Here is a 15,498-nt window from a genome sequence, read left to right as displayed (position 1 = left end):
TCACTTGAGGTCAGGAGTTCAAGATTAGCCTGGCCAACATGGTGAAACCCCATCTCCACTAAAAATATAAAAATTAGCTGGGTGTGGTGGCGCACATCTGTAATCCCAGCTACTCTGGGGGCTGAGGCAGGAGAATTGCTTGAACCCTGGAGGCAGAGGTTGCAGTGAGCCGAGATCATAGCACTGCACTCTAGCCTGGGTGACAGAGTGAGATTCTGTCTCAAAAACAAAAACCACTGCAAAAAATCAAGATCCCACTGCCAAAAGGCCAAAAGGGATGGCTGTTGGAAAATTAATTACATCAAGATGGCTACAACAGAACATGGCCAAAGTATTTGAGAATAAAACATCAGAGGAAGTAGCATCTCGGAGAAAATCTGCTGTAACTTTTCCAATTGCTCTGTAAAGAAGATACTTCTCAATCTCTTTCTTAATCATCCATTATGCTGAATTTGGCTCTATTGAATATTTCTTCATTTTAGAAACTCTTTATGTCCTATTTACCCTGAAACCTCTCTCCCTTTTTCTCGAACCTTGCTGAATTCAGCCAGATTGGCAAACATGCCATATTCTTTTTATGATCTCAGTAGCTAGCAAGATACCTGACATATGGTAGGTACTCAACAAATATTTGCTGAACTAAACCAAACCAGGTCATGCCTTGACAAAGCTCCAAGAATTCTTACTCAGGTTCTTCCTCTGCCAGACCCTTGCCACATCTTCCCACACTACATTCATTCACTCAGTAAATATATGTGGAATGGCTATTAAGTGCCAAGATCTGTTCTGATAAGATAGAAATGTACAGAAAAGGCTTCTTTCCATACAAGAAACTAGGGAAGCAGAGTTAAAATAGCTACCTTGGTATTAAAAAAAAATTCTGGCTGAGCACAGTGGCTCATGCCTGTAATCCCAACACTTTGGGAGGCTGACATGGGTGGATCACTTGAGGCCAGGAGTTCAAAACCAGCCTGGCCAACATGGTGAAATCCCATCTCTACTAAAAATACAAAATTAGCCAGTGGCACACACCTGTAATCCCAGCTACTTGGGAGGCCGAGGCATGAGAATTGCTTGAACTGAGGAGGTGGGAGTTGCAGTGACCTGAGATGGCACTATTTGCACTCCAGCCTGGGTGAGAGAATGAGAGTCTGTCTCAAAAAATAAATAAATATAATAAACAATTTTAATATATATAGAGGCTACCATAAAGGAGCTACTCTACATACTCATTTTTTGAGATCAAATTTACTTGATAAACTTAATTTTATGATTACATAAAAGGGCAAAAAAAAATCTTTTCTGAGAGCCAAGGATACAGCAAAACAGGCAAAAATCCCTGCCTTGATAGAATTTACATTTCAAAGTAGGACACAGATAACTAAAATATAGAGCATGGGAGAAGGTGCTAAGAGATGTGGGGGAAAAAATAGGTTTATTAGGATTTGACCAGAGAAACAAGACCATTAAGAGGTATTCACAGTGGTGGGCTGGAGCTGGCTAGTACTGGCCTGAGAGAGCTATCAGCATCTTCTCTCTTCTCCCCATTCAGTGATGTCACATTGGTGGCTTGAAATTGGCCATGGTAAGAATATTTATACCAGGAAAATTGGCAAATGCTACAAATTAGGGTTTTTTTTTTCTTTTTCCAGAAAGCTGGTTGTTAAACATTTATCCGCATACCACAAACATAAACATGTGTAATGGCTTATTATAAGGACTTATTGTAGGGATTTGCCTACATGCAAATGTGGGGGCTGGTTAAACAGTCTATATGGAGGCTATTGCTTCTGTGTCAGGCACTAGTGCCTGAAATCAATAGGGCAGGTAGTCAAGAAAGGAAGATGGGCTGGGCGCGGTGGCTCACGCCTGTAATCCCAACACTTTGGGAGGCCAAGACGGGTGGATCACGAGGTCAGGAGATCGAGACCATCCCAGCTAACATGGTGAAACCCCGTCACTACTAAAAATACAAAAAACTAGCCAGGCATAGTGGCGGGTGCCTGTAATCCCAGCTACTCGGGAGGCTGAGGCAGGAGAATGGCGTGAACCCGGGAGGTGGAGCCTGCAGTGAGCCGAGATCGCGCCACTGCACTCCAGCCTGGGCGACAGAGCTAGACTCCATCTCCAAAAAAAAAAAGGAAGATGGTAATGAAGTAAGGGAAGCAAGATGGAACCTACACAGCTGAGCTGTAAACCAAGAGGATTGACTGGACTTCTTATGGCTCTCTCACCGTCTCTAAGCCTCCAATTTTGGTGATATGGAGGGTGGGAGGAGGCGTATTGAGGGAGAAGCTGGCCTCCTTCACCATGGAGCTAAACACATCTCTCACCTAACAGTCTGAAAAACTAAAGGAAGATCCAGCTAGAGCTAGAGGAGTGGTCAAGGGTCCAGCCACTGCCCTGTGCCAATCAGGCGAGCCAACAGGTAGCAACAATGCACTGAGCTGCACTAGTCTTCTAAGTGTAAAACAAGATGGTGGTTCCTTCAATTCTGCCTTCTAAGCATGTGAGACACATATCTGTGGCCCATGTGACTTCAGAGCTCTCCAGGGAAGAGAATCTGGGAATGATAACTCCAGCTCAGCTAAGTTAGCACAATATTCATCCACCATGGTTAAGAGAGGGAATAAAGAGTGTCGGGGGAAGGGTAGAAATATTCAATAGGATTGTCAGGGAAGGATTTAACAAGGAGGTGACATCTGAGTAATGATATGAAGGAAGTGAGGGGGCAAGCTCTGGGGATTTTTATGGGAAGAGAGTTCCAGCCATAGGAGATGGCAAATACAAGGCCTTGAGTTGTGAACACAACCAACATGTTCAAACAGCAGCAGGGATAACAGTGTGGCTGGAGGGAGCAAATGAAGAGAGTAGCAAGAGGGGAGGTCAATTTGTTTGAGTGCAGTAGAGAGAGGGAAGGGCTTGTAGGACATTCCAAGACTTTGGCTCCTACTCACTGTGGCATAAGGATCCACTGGATGATTTTCGAGCAGGGGAATAACAAGATCAAATGAGTCTTAGCAGGATTATTCTGGCGGCTCTATTGGGAATACACTGAAAGATTGACAAATGCAGATTATGAGGTTATTGCAGAAATCCACAGGGGAACTGAGGACAGCTTAGACCACGGGAGCCACAGTGGGGATGGTACAGAGAGGTCAGATCCCAGGAATATTTTGAAGGTGAAGTCCATGGAAATTTGAACTGGATGTGTAGTATCAAAGAAAAAGAGGAATCCAGGCCGGGCACGGTGGCTCACGCCTGTAATCTCAGCACTTTGGGAGGCCGAGGCGGGTGGATCACGAGGTCAGGAGATCGAGACCATCCTGGCTAACACAGTGAAACCCCATCTCTACTAAAAATACAAAAAATTAGCCTGGCGTGGTGGTGGGCACCTGTAGTCCCAGCTACTCAAGAGGCTGAGGCAGGAGAATGGTGTGAACCCGGGAGGCGGAGCTTGCTGTGAGCCAAGATTTTGCCACTGCACTCTAGCCTGGGTGACAGAGCGAGACTCTGTCTCAAAAAAAAAAAAAAGAGGAATCTAAGCTGAATCCAAGTTTTAGAGCTAAGCAACTATACCAATAAAGTTGCTATTAAATAAACCTGGAAAAGCATAAGGACAACTAAGCTTGGATGGGATAGGAGGAGGTCAGGAGTTCAGTTTCGACAAACTAAGTTTGAATTTTCTCTTAGACACCAAATTGGAAATGACAGTTGGATCTATGAAGAGGTAAGTACAGGCTAAAGATACCAATTTGGGAGTAACCGCATGCAATGAGAAATATTTAATGCCACAAGATTGGATGAGATCACCAAGGCATGAACAGAGAAGAGAAGGTACAAGGACTGGTCTCCACTAAAAGTTCAGGGACATGAGGAGAAACAAGCAAAAGAAACTAAGGGACTGAGCAGAGAGGTAGGAGAAGAACCAAGAGCTTAGTAGCCTCTGACTCCAGTGACAGAAGAAGGAGGAGGTGATCAGCTGAGTCAGGATGCTGCAGACAGGTCAAATTAGACAAGAACTGAGAGCTGTTTGTTGGATTTACCAAAATGGAGGTCTTTGGCTACCTTGTTAAGGACAATTTAGGCAGACTAGAAGCCATAAAAGCCATACCAGCATGAGTTCACATGAGAATGAAACAGAGAAGTTAGAGACGATGAGTACAGACAATTCTTTTGAGGTGTAAAAGGAAGGACAAAAATGGAACATGAGCTGGAAGGCAGAATGGGGTCAAGGGTTTTGGTTGTGGTTGTGGTCTTGGTTTTGTTCAAACTAGGAGAAATAATAGTATGTTTGTATACTGATAGGAATGATCCACAAAGAGGCTGGATTTTATGAAGGACAGAGGGAGAGGACAATTGCTGAAGCAATGTTATTTTAGGAGGTGAGAGAGGATGAGATCTGTTCCACTGTGGAGGGGTTGCACTCTGAGAAAAGTTACTTTCATCCATAGAAGACCAAGCACTTGAGGTCAGCAGACCGAGGTGGATAGGTAGGTAGGTGTGTGGGTAGGGAGATTGTGGAAGTTCTCTTATTATTTCTAACCTCTCATTTCTATATAAATGGGGTAAAAGTATCACCTGAATAGGGTTTTGGGAGAATTAAGTAAGTTAATACATATAAACACATAGGAGGGTTATAGTGAATGTTAGCAACTATTAGATATTATTCCATGTTAGTCTGGGTGACCTAATTTGTTCTCATGGTTTCGGTGACCTCCTATCCTTAACCTTCACATTCAAAATCCAATTCCTGCTGGACGTATCTCAAAATCAACTCATTTAGAACCCAATTCACTTTGTTCCTCCTAGGGAAAATCTATCTCCTGCAAGCTTCTCTCTGTTAATGGCTCCTCCCACTACCTGGGCACATCAATAGGAACACCTGAGTTTTCTGGATCTCATCCTGTCCTTCATATTCACACCTAAGCCATATCAAGCGTGGCTCATTCTTCCTCCTCAACATTTTGGAAACCCCCTTCTCTCCTCCCCCACCCATCATCCCTACCACATTATCCTTTCAGATTCTCAGCATCTCTCTCTTCTGGACTTTGGCCTCCTAACTGGCTCCTTCTGTCAACATGACCCCCTCTTCTGTATGTACAGAATGGTCTGTCCAAAATGCAAGACACCGTGTCACTTTCTGTGTTCAGCCCTTCAGTGGCAGCCTAGAAGCTGCAAGAGTAAATGCAATCTAGACAGCATGGCGCTGGAGGTCTTCCATCTATATTTATAACTTTGCCTAGTTGTAGATCTCCTGTCCCCTCCAACCTTGTACTCAATATGCCAATTATACCAAGTGTTTACAGCTTCCTTGCACAGTCCTCCCCAAAGCTACATCCCCAAACTGTTTTGTTTTGAGACAGAGTCTAACTCTGTCACCCAGGCTGGAGTGAAGTAGCGTGATCACAGCTCGCTGCAGCCTTGACCTCCTGGGCACAAGAGATCATCCTACCTTAGCCTCTCAAGTAGCTGGAACCACAGTTGTGCACCACCACGCCCAGCTAATTTTTAAATTTTTTTAAGAGATGCAGTTTCTCTGTGTTGCCCAGGCTGGTCTCAAACTCCTGAGCTCAAGGAATCCTCCCACTTCAGCCTCCCAAAGTGCTGGGATTACAGGCAGGAGCCACTGTGCCCACCCTCTCAAATTGCTTAGTGCCTCCAAGCTAATGCTTAGTTGTCCTTTAACTCTTGGCTTAAGCACCATCTCCTCCGGGAACTCTTCCTGACCTCCAGCTTGAGCCAAGTGCCCTTCCTCAGGGCTCTCACAACATCACATCCAAAACCCAGCACATGAGGGCTCCATGACTTAGTTGATATGTATTAGATGAACTACATTTAATTGATTAAACCATGTTAGATGACATCTTGAAGTCCTTTCCAGTACTATGATATTACAACAGATATTTCTGTTTTGGTAACAATTTTATTGAGATATAATACGCATACCATGTAATTCACCCTTTTGAAGTATACAATGAAGACTGGCTTTTAGTATACTCACGGCGTTAGCTGTCACCACAACAATTTTAGAGCATTTCATTGCCCCCCTCCCCAAATGCTTCTACCATTTAGCAGTTTCTCCCTCGTTCTTCACAGTCTCTCCAGCCCTGTGCAGCCCTAATCTACTGTCTGTCTCTATGGAGTTGCTTCTCATGGACATTTCATATAAATAGAATCATATAATATATGGTCTTTTGTGTCTAGTTTATTTCACTTAGCATAATGTTTTCAAGATCCAGCTATCTCATAGCATATATCAGTACCTCATTTTTTTTTGCCAGAGAATATTCCATTGTATGGATACGCCACATTTTATTTATCTCTTCATCAGTTGATGGACTTTCAGGTGGTTTTCAATGTTTGGGTATTGCAAATAATGCTATTATGAATATTCTCATACAAGTTTTTATGTGAATATATGTTTCATTTCTCTTGTCTATATACCTAAGAGTAGAATTACTGGGTCATATTGAAATTCCGTGTTTAGGCCATGCGCGATGGCTCACACCTGTAATCCCAGCACTTCGGGAGGCCCAGGCGGGCGGATCGAGACCATCCTGGCTAACATGGTGAAACCCCGTCTCTCCTAAAAATACAACAAATTAGCTGGGCGTGGTAGTGGGCGCCGGTAGTCCCAGCTACTTGGGAGGCTGAGGCAGGAGAATGTCGTGAACCTGGGAGGTGAAGCTTGCAGTGAGCCGAGATAGCACTGCCGCACTCCAGCCTAGGTGACAGAGTGAGACTCCATCTTAAAAAAAAAAAAAAAAAAAAAGAAAGAAAGAAATTCCATGTTTAAACTTTTGAGGAACTGCCAGACTACAGCAGGTATATTTTTCTGTTACCCAAATGAAACTGTGGATACCTGAGTGAAACTTAAGTTGCTTTTTAAGACCAGGCCTCACTATGTTGCCCAGGCTGGTCTCACCACAACTCCTGGCCTTGATCCTCCCACCTCAGCCTCCCCGGTGGCTGAGACCACAGGCATGCGCCACCGCACCCAGCCCATTTTTCTTTACAGAAGGTTTGTGCTGCAGTTGGCTGGTGATCCTGGTAGGGATAACTTTTCAGGTTAGCTGGTCCTCTGAAGGGCCACCGTGCATAGCAAACCACTGCCCAGCTGATTGCAAAGAGCCCCTTTCAAAAGCAAGCCCATGCCCTTGGCACTTTAGGTGGGATTTGCTTCTAAATAAAGTCGTAGTCATTGTCCTCTTCATTCATCATCCATTCCCCAGCTACATCTTTAAAAATTAGTCTATTTATAAGAAATGTGGGCCATTATTTGTACTTTGTTCATAAAAAATATTTAAAGTGAAAATGAAAGATATTTCATGAGATTTGTTTTTGTCATTTTCTCAAATACTGTATATCTTTAAAATCTTTTCAACTAATAAAAATTAATATATTTAAAATAGAATGTGGTTCTCAAATTTATTTTGTCATCCAATTATATGATAAACCTACTGGCTATCATATGTTTGAATATTTATATATGTACAATAGCTACAGGTTGTACTTTATGACTTTTTTTGTTTTTTGTTTGTTTTGTTTTGTTTTGAGACACGGTCTTGCTGTGTTACGCAAGCTGGAGTGCAGTGGCATAATCATGGCTCATTGCAGCTGTGATCTCCAGGGCTCAAGTGATCCTCCCACCTCAGCCTCCCCAGTAGCCAGAACTACAAACGCACCACTGTGCCTGGTAAATTTTTTTTATTTTGATTTTTTTTTTTTTGTAGAGACAGTGTCTCACTATGTTGCCCAAACTGGTCTCAAACTCCTAATCTCAAGTGATCCTTCTGCCTTGGCCTCTCAAAGCTCTGGGATTGCAGGTATGAGCCACTGTGCCCAGCTTGTCTGGATGACTTTTATAAAACAAAATAACATCTAAGTCTCTAATTATACCCATATCAATATATCCTGCATAATCTTTCAAAAGTTTAGCCTCCACCAGGTCATTACCCTGTTCAAAGGCCTGCAGTGCCTCTGGGGTAAAGGACAGACTCTCTGAGGACAGACTCCCAGGCGTCCTCATGATCTGGCCCCTCTGCATCTCAGTCTTTTCTCCCTGTGCCACACCCTCCTGAACTGTTCTGGGCACCCTGTTCTACTCACCCTCACCTGAACACACCTTCCTGAGCCTCTGCCCCAAGAATGCTTCCCCCTCCTGTTATACAGTTATGATTCACCTTCCAAAGTCCAGGCCAATGCTAATCCCTTCTATGAAGCCTTCCTCCCTCCTCTGAGCATCTATAGCACTTATTTTTGCCATATGTTGTTGAAAGTGCATTTATAGATATGTTATCGTTTTCCAGTAAGTTATAAGTTCCTGGAGACAGGATGATACCACACCCTTTGCCCCATATCCATAGTTTTTACCCTACTGCTGGTCTGAAAAATTATGATTTTACTAAAATATAATTTCGATTTGTTGGAAGTTTAACAAAAGCTACGTTTTAGGTAGTATCTATCTATATGGTTTATTGTAAATAACATTTCCTTTTAATTCAGTAATTTCCCACGTTCATGTGGTTCAGTGCTTAGCTTTTGGACTTCTTATTGGATAGGTTAAATTTATAACCAATCTTTATTAAATGCCTCCTCTGGGCAAGGTATGGAAATATGATCATTCAGACAAGGCATTGACTCTTACGTCATTTGCCTTCTAGAAATCCAAAGTTTCACGATTATGTTATAAAGGCTGCTGTTCAAATCACTAGGACATGTAGACGTGGTGATAGTATAGATCAAACTAAGGAAGGGGGCTGGGCATGGTGGCTCACACCTGTAATCCCAGCACTTTGAAAGGCCGAAGCAGGTGGATCACCTGAGGTCAGGGGTTCAAGACGAGCCTGGCCAACACAGTGAAACCCCGTCTCTACTAAAAATATTTTAAAAATTAGCCTGGCATGGTGGACGGCGCCTGTAATCCCAGCTACTCCGGAGGCTGAGGCAGGAGAATTGCTTGAACCTGGGAGGTGGAGGTTGCAGTGAGCTGAGATCATGCCACTGCACTCCAGCCTGGGCACAGAGTGAGACTCTGTCTCAAAATAAAAATAAAAATACAAAAATTAGAGCCGAGCATGGTGGCTTGCACCTGCAATCCCAGCACTTTGGAAAGCCAAGGCGGGTGGATCACCTGAGGTCAGGAGTTCGAGATCAGACTGGCCAATATGGTGAAACCCCATCTCTACTAAAAATACAAAAATTAGCCAGGCGTGGTGGCACGCGCCTGTAGTCCCAGCTGCTCGGGAGGCTGAGGCATGAGAATCACTTGAACCCGGGAAGTGGAGGTTGCAGTGAACCAAGATCGAGACACTGCACTCCAGCCTGGGCGATAGAGCGAGACTCAGTCTCAAAAAAAAAAAAAAAAAAAAAAAATTAGCTGGGTTTGGTGGCTCGCGCTTGTAATCCCAGCTACTTGGTAGGCTGAGGCAGGAGAATGGCTTGAACATGGGAGGCGGAGGTTGCAGTGAGCGGAGATCACGCCATTGCACTCCAGCCTGGGCGACAGTGAGACTCTGTCTCAAAACAAACAAACAAAAAAACAAAACAAAAACTAGGGAATGGGACCTTGAGTTTCATGGACCCTTGGGTACAGCAGGTTAGCTCTGAGAAGTGGCAGAGAGGTAGACATTCTCTTCTCCCTTTTGCCCCTTTATGATCCTCTACACTGTGTTGCAATATTCCTCTGCTACTGTGTCCACACCTTCCATTTTCCAAAATATGTATTCTGTTTCCCTTCAGTTCAGCAGACATATATTAAGCACCCACTATTTCAAAGGCATAGTAGAAAGCACTGGTTTCCTGATTCATCAATTAATGCTACATATTATTATAACGTATAATATAGATGTATATAGTCTATAATAATATATGGATTTCTATATGTATATTTTTATAAGCAGAGTAGAGTAGCAACTTAGTGAGGTTCTAAAGTAAATATGTTACATGAACCCCAGAGAAAGTAAAAGTACTCTTAAGAAGTCCTGGCCGGGCGCAGTGGCTCACACCTGTAATCCCAGCACTTTGGAAGGCCGAGGCAGGCAGGCGGATCACCTGAGGTCAGGAGTTGAGACCAGCCTGGCAAACATGGTGAAACCCTGTCTCTACCAAAAAAAAATTACAAAAATTAGCCGGGCATGGTAGCGTGCGCCTGTAATCCCAGCTACTCAGGAGGCTGAGGCAGGAGAATCACCTGAACCCGGGAAGCAGAGGTTGCAGTGAGCCGAGATCGTGCCACTGCACTCCAGCCTGAGCAACACAGCGAGACTCCGTCTCAAAAAAAAAAAAAGTTCTTAAACAGCCTATAAAAGCACGCCATAAAAGGTACGAAGGACGTGAGGCCACCTCAGGAAACAGCCAGCTCGCGACTGCACAGGAGACTCATTCTGGGGTTAACGCTTCTCAAGAGTGAAATTGATGAGTCTTTGCTGTGTATATGCATTTAAGTGTGTGTGCCTGTGCTTTTTTCTAGGGCAAACAAAATTATAAGGATGTGCGCACCAAATACAATAAATCACGGTCTCTTTCTCCTTTCCCGGTTCTAATTGCCCCAATAAACCCGCTCTCCACTCTCCAGCCTGCCACATTCCCCGCTGTTCGGTCTTTGAATGGTCGATGCGTAATGTCACGGTTCTAAGCTGCCACCTTGTGGCCATCCCACGTGTGTGTTTTAAGCAGCCTCTTCAATGTGCCGCTTGCCTAGCTCTACTTGTAATTTGATGCGGTTCCTTTTGCTTTCTGCGTTTTGTGCTTCCTTCCCCCAGAGCTGCTAGTTGTCCTGTCGTAGATTCACGAAACTGGATTACAATACTTGACATCATTCAGGATAACAAGTATACCAAGAGCTTAAAATTATGGCAGAGTTGCACATTGCTTTGAACTCTAGTAGACACCATTATATTTTTCTCCCAAAATACTTTGTAATATTTATTTTAAATCCCCAGTATCCGAAAAGCAACAACGAATTCCTTTCCCAAGCATTTATTGAGCACCTATTAGCCACTGCCTTTGGGAGTTCCCAGCCTCATGAGGCGACATGTGGGGCCATGTGGCAATTGCAAATAATGCAGGTGGACCGCTGTACAGGGGGGCCTGGGAAATCACTCTAGAATCTCTCTGAAGGGGTCAGCAATGCCTTCACAGAAGAGTCCAGGCTGAAGCTTAAGCCTGCAGGTCAGAGGGCCAAGCTTGGAGACAGGTTAGACATCCCAGACAGAAGGAAAAGCAGCACTATTTTGGTGAGGAAGTGCACGCATCATTCTGGGACTTGATCCCCAGAGCTTTGCCAGCCCAAACAGCACTCCAGGTGCTTTGAAGAATGTATTTATGCCAGGCACAATGGCTCACACCTGCAATCCCAGTGCTTTGGGAGGCCAAGGCAGGAAGATCACTTGAGCCCAGGAGTTTGAGACCAGCCTAGGCAGCATAGTAAGACCCTGTCTCTACTACAAATTTTAAAAATTGGCCAGTCATAGTAGCACATTCCTGTAGTCTCAGCTACTTGGGAGGCTGAGGTGGGAGGATGGCTGGAGCCCAGGAGTTTGAGGCTGCCATGAGCTATGAATGAGCCACTGCACTCCAGCCTGAGCAATAGAGTGGGACTCTGTTTCAATTTTTTTAAAATAATGTATTTAAACATTCTTAAGAGAACTCCTCCCTTTTTACCCAAATAAAATATACTGAACCATAAGGGCTTTCTGAATCAGTTTGACCAACCACTGCTATTACCCAATATTTGTGCTCTCTTCCCTTAATAGTTTTTCCATTTCACAATTACTTATTCTAAAGCAATACTAGGTCTTTTCACAGCCTGTTCACTCTTGAAACTGGACTGCAAACTGGCTGACACTGATGTCCCCAAGAAGCCACTGAAAAAATGGACTTTTGGTACCTAGTAGCAGAGGAAAGAGAGAGGAGAAGAAAGCTCTTGTTTTCTCTTGTCTCAACAGTACATGCCCACAGATTAGCTCAGAGATGGATAACTCATGGGCAGCAAACCCGAGCCTTAGACACTATAAGGGGGCCACACCTTGTGGCAAATGTTATCTGTATAGTAATAACATCCCACAAAAATAAGAAATATGGCTCAAATGTATCTAAAGGTTGGGTGATTAATAAATTAGAAATCTATTTAGAGTTGTTAGCGGATTCATAGGACTGTGTATTTCCCCAATCGTTAAAAATCGGCTACTCTGAGCCTTCCACAGAAGACAATTAAAAAATCGGCTACTCATCATGTAGAGAGGTCTGAGAAATATTGTGAGGTTCAAAATTTTACCATGCTGGACAAGACAAGAAGCACTAGTTTAGTTTTGTACAACACTTTTGTCTAGTTAATGCCTACTCTTCCCTCAGATCTGGCTTTAACTGGAATCTTTTCTGTGACCTCCCTGACGTAACCAAATTCTGCTATTATATGCTCTCATAGCATCATAGCACTTAACACACTTGGAGTTTTAGAGTTGTGAGCCATATTTCTTATTTTTATGGGATGTTGTTACTATACAGATAACATTTGCCACAAGGTGTGGCCCTCTTATAGTGTCTAAGGCTCCTAAGGGTTTGTGAGTGTGGATATAGAATATCTCTCTCCCACTACTGTAAAACATCATACGGGCAGGCCTTATGTCTTCCTGATCAATATTGTCTGTCCAGGGTTCAGCACAGTTTCTAGCACACACTAATAACTCACTCAATGAATAAGTACAATAAGCTAAAAGTTCCTGTGTCCCAGTCCTAGGAGATAAATCCAGGGATGACATGTCAAAGTAAACCATCTAAAGGTCTTGGTGGCTGGTAGCTATCTCTAGAGACCTAGACCCAGAAGTAGGTCTCCTAGGAGAGGAGACCCAGATATGTAGAGGAAGGGGAATGTGGAGCTCATAAATGTATCCTGCCTAACAGCCAAAGTCAGGGGCAATTCCACCTTTTATGGACAGTTCTCAGTGTTAAGAAAGAGCATTAGATTGGCCGGGCGCGGTGGCTCACACCTGTAATCTCAGCACTTTGGGAGGCCAAGGCGGGCGGATCACGAGGTCAGGAGATCGAGACCATCCTGGCTAACACAGTGAAACCCCGTCTCTACTAAAAATACAAAAAATTAGCCGGGCGTGGTGGCGGGTGCCTGTAGTCCCAGCTACTCAAGAGGCTGAGGTAGGAGAATGGTGTTAACCCAGGAGGTGGAGCTTGCAGTTAGCCGAGATTGCACCACTGCACCCCAGCCTGGGCGACAGAGTGAGACTCCGTCTCAAAAAAAAAAAAAAAAAAAAAGGCCTTAGATTAGGGTTCAAGTTCTGGATCTACCTACCATCAACCTGGCATACAACCTTGGATTAGACATCTAACCTCATCAACCATGAATCAGATTCTTAATCTGTAAAATGGGGATGATGTCTGCCCTATCTACATCATCATTGTGAAAAACAAGCAAAATCATGGACCCTAAAGTACAGTGAAATTATAGAGTATTCGAGAAATATAAGGGTGGCATTTTTTTCTAAATACAATAAGTCCTCAATGTCATCAATAGGTGCTTGGAAACTGCAACTTTAAGCAAAACAAAACCAATTTTACCATAGGCTAATTGGTATAAACAAGAGTTTAGTTTCTTGTGGCATTTTTCTGGTCACAGAAACATCACCAAACTTCTAAATAAAGACACAAAACACTTCTAATATTAAACATTGAAATAAATGTGAGCTATATATACCTTTAAGAAATATTAATAAAAACAAGTAGCATAATTACCCAATTTTTGGTGAATCAGTGAGTGATGGGGGTTGCAATAGTGGTGGATTAAATCAAGGAATAAATGTTCGCAAAGCAAAAAATATCAGAGTACTTCCTACCACTATGCAGCTCAAAAACAATCACAGACATGGCAGGCTCAATAAGCACTTTTGTCCTGCATCATTTATTTTCATGCATGTATTAGTGTGTTCTCACACTGCCATAAAGAACTGTCCAAGACTGGGCAATATATAAAGGAAAGAGGTTTACTTGACACACAGTTCTGCAGGGCTGTGGAGGCCTCAGGAAATTTACAATCATAGCAGAAGGGGAAGCAAACATGTCCTTCTGCACAGGGCGGCAGGAAGAAGTGCCAAACAAAGGGGGAGGCCCCTTACAAAACCATCAGATCTCATGAGAACTCACTCACTATCACGAGAACAGGATGGGAGAACTGCTCCCATGATTTAATTATCTCCACCTGGTCCTGTCCTTGACGCATAGGGATTGTTACAATTCAAGGTCAGATTTAGGTGGGGACACAGCCACATAATATCAATGTATTTATATGATTTTCATATATTTTGTGAAGTTTTATTTTACCATCATATGTATTCATACCTTTATTCATTTTCTAACCCACTTATTTCAGTTCAGGCTCACAGATGGCTGGATTCTCTTCCAGAAGCTCAGGGTGCAAGGTGGGAAATGACCCTGGAGAGAATGTAATTCCATTACAGGACACGCTCACAGACACCCACATACTCACTCCAACTGGGACCATGTAGACACACCAATTAACCTAATGTGTACAGCTTTGAGATTTCGGAGGAAACTGGAATATCCAAAGAAAACCCACTCAGACATGAGGAGGATGTACAAACCCCACACAGACAGTAGTCCCCATTGGGAATCAGTTTTTTCTTTCTTTCTTTCTTTCTTTTTTTTTTTTTTTTTTTTTTTTGAGACGGAGTCTCACTCTGTCACCCAGGCTGGAGTGCAATGGAGCGATCTCGGCTCACCACAACCTCCACCTCCCGGGTTCAAGCAATTCTCCTCCCTCAGCCTCCCAAGTAGCTGGGATTACAGGCATCTGCCACCACACATGCCTAATTTTAGTATTTTTAGTAGACACGGGGTTTCCATGTTGGTCAGGCTGGTCTCAAACTCCTCAGGTGATCCACCCTCTTCGGCCTCCCAAAGTGCTGGAATTACAGGCAGTTTTTCCACATTACAACGAAACCATGTTGAACAAAGTCATGTTATTTGAGGCCCTGCTGTGCTGCTTTTTTATGATTCTCCTCTTCAGCTTCTCCTAATTTATAAAATATGATTTATCTTTTCTTTTTAAACCTTCAGTTTTTTCCCATTTCTTTTTTTTTTTTTTTTTTTTTTTTTTTTTGGCTGCACAATCACGGCTCACTGCAGCCTCAACCTCCTGGGCTCGAGCAATCCTCCCACTTTTGCCTCCCAAGTAGCTAGGACTACAGGTGCACACCACCACACCTGGCTAATTTTTAAAAATTTTGTAGAGACAGGGCCTTGCCATGTTTCCCAGGCTGCTTAAGTTTCTATAGTTTTTCTGGATATTTGTCTATCTGTTAACTTTCATTGATTATGCATCCTAATAATTACCTAAAATAAACCCAATTTCTCAAAGGCCCCATAAAGACTATTTATCTTAATGTCCTAGTAGCTCAGTGGAACGAGAGCCAATATCATTTCTTCCTACTGTCACAAAGCAGATCAACAAACACTTATTGATTA

At 43.3% G+C, this 15,498-nt stretch overlaps 1 annotated feature.

Moving 5' to 3' along the window:
- Positions 10,625 to 10,674: a silencer, noted in NCBI's record as "silent region_9389". NCBI's record gives its function as "represses an Ori minimal core promoter by ATAC-STARR-seq in GM12878 lymphoblastoid cells {active_cell/tissue: GM12878}" and the evidence as "EXISTENCE:reporter gene assay evidence [ECO:0000049][PMID:35858748]".

This window comes from Homo sapiens, chromosome 18 (assembly GCF_000001405.40).
Source record: "Homo sapiens chromosome 18, GRCh38.p14 Primary Assembly".
NCBI lineage: Eukaryota > Metazoa > Chordata > Mammalia > Primates > Hominidae > Homo > Homo sapiens.
This window is presented reverse-complemented; position numbering and strand designations above follow the sequence as displayed.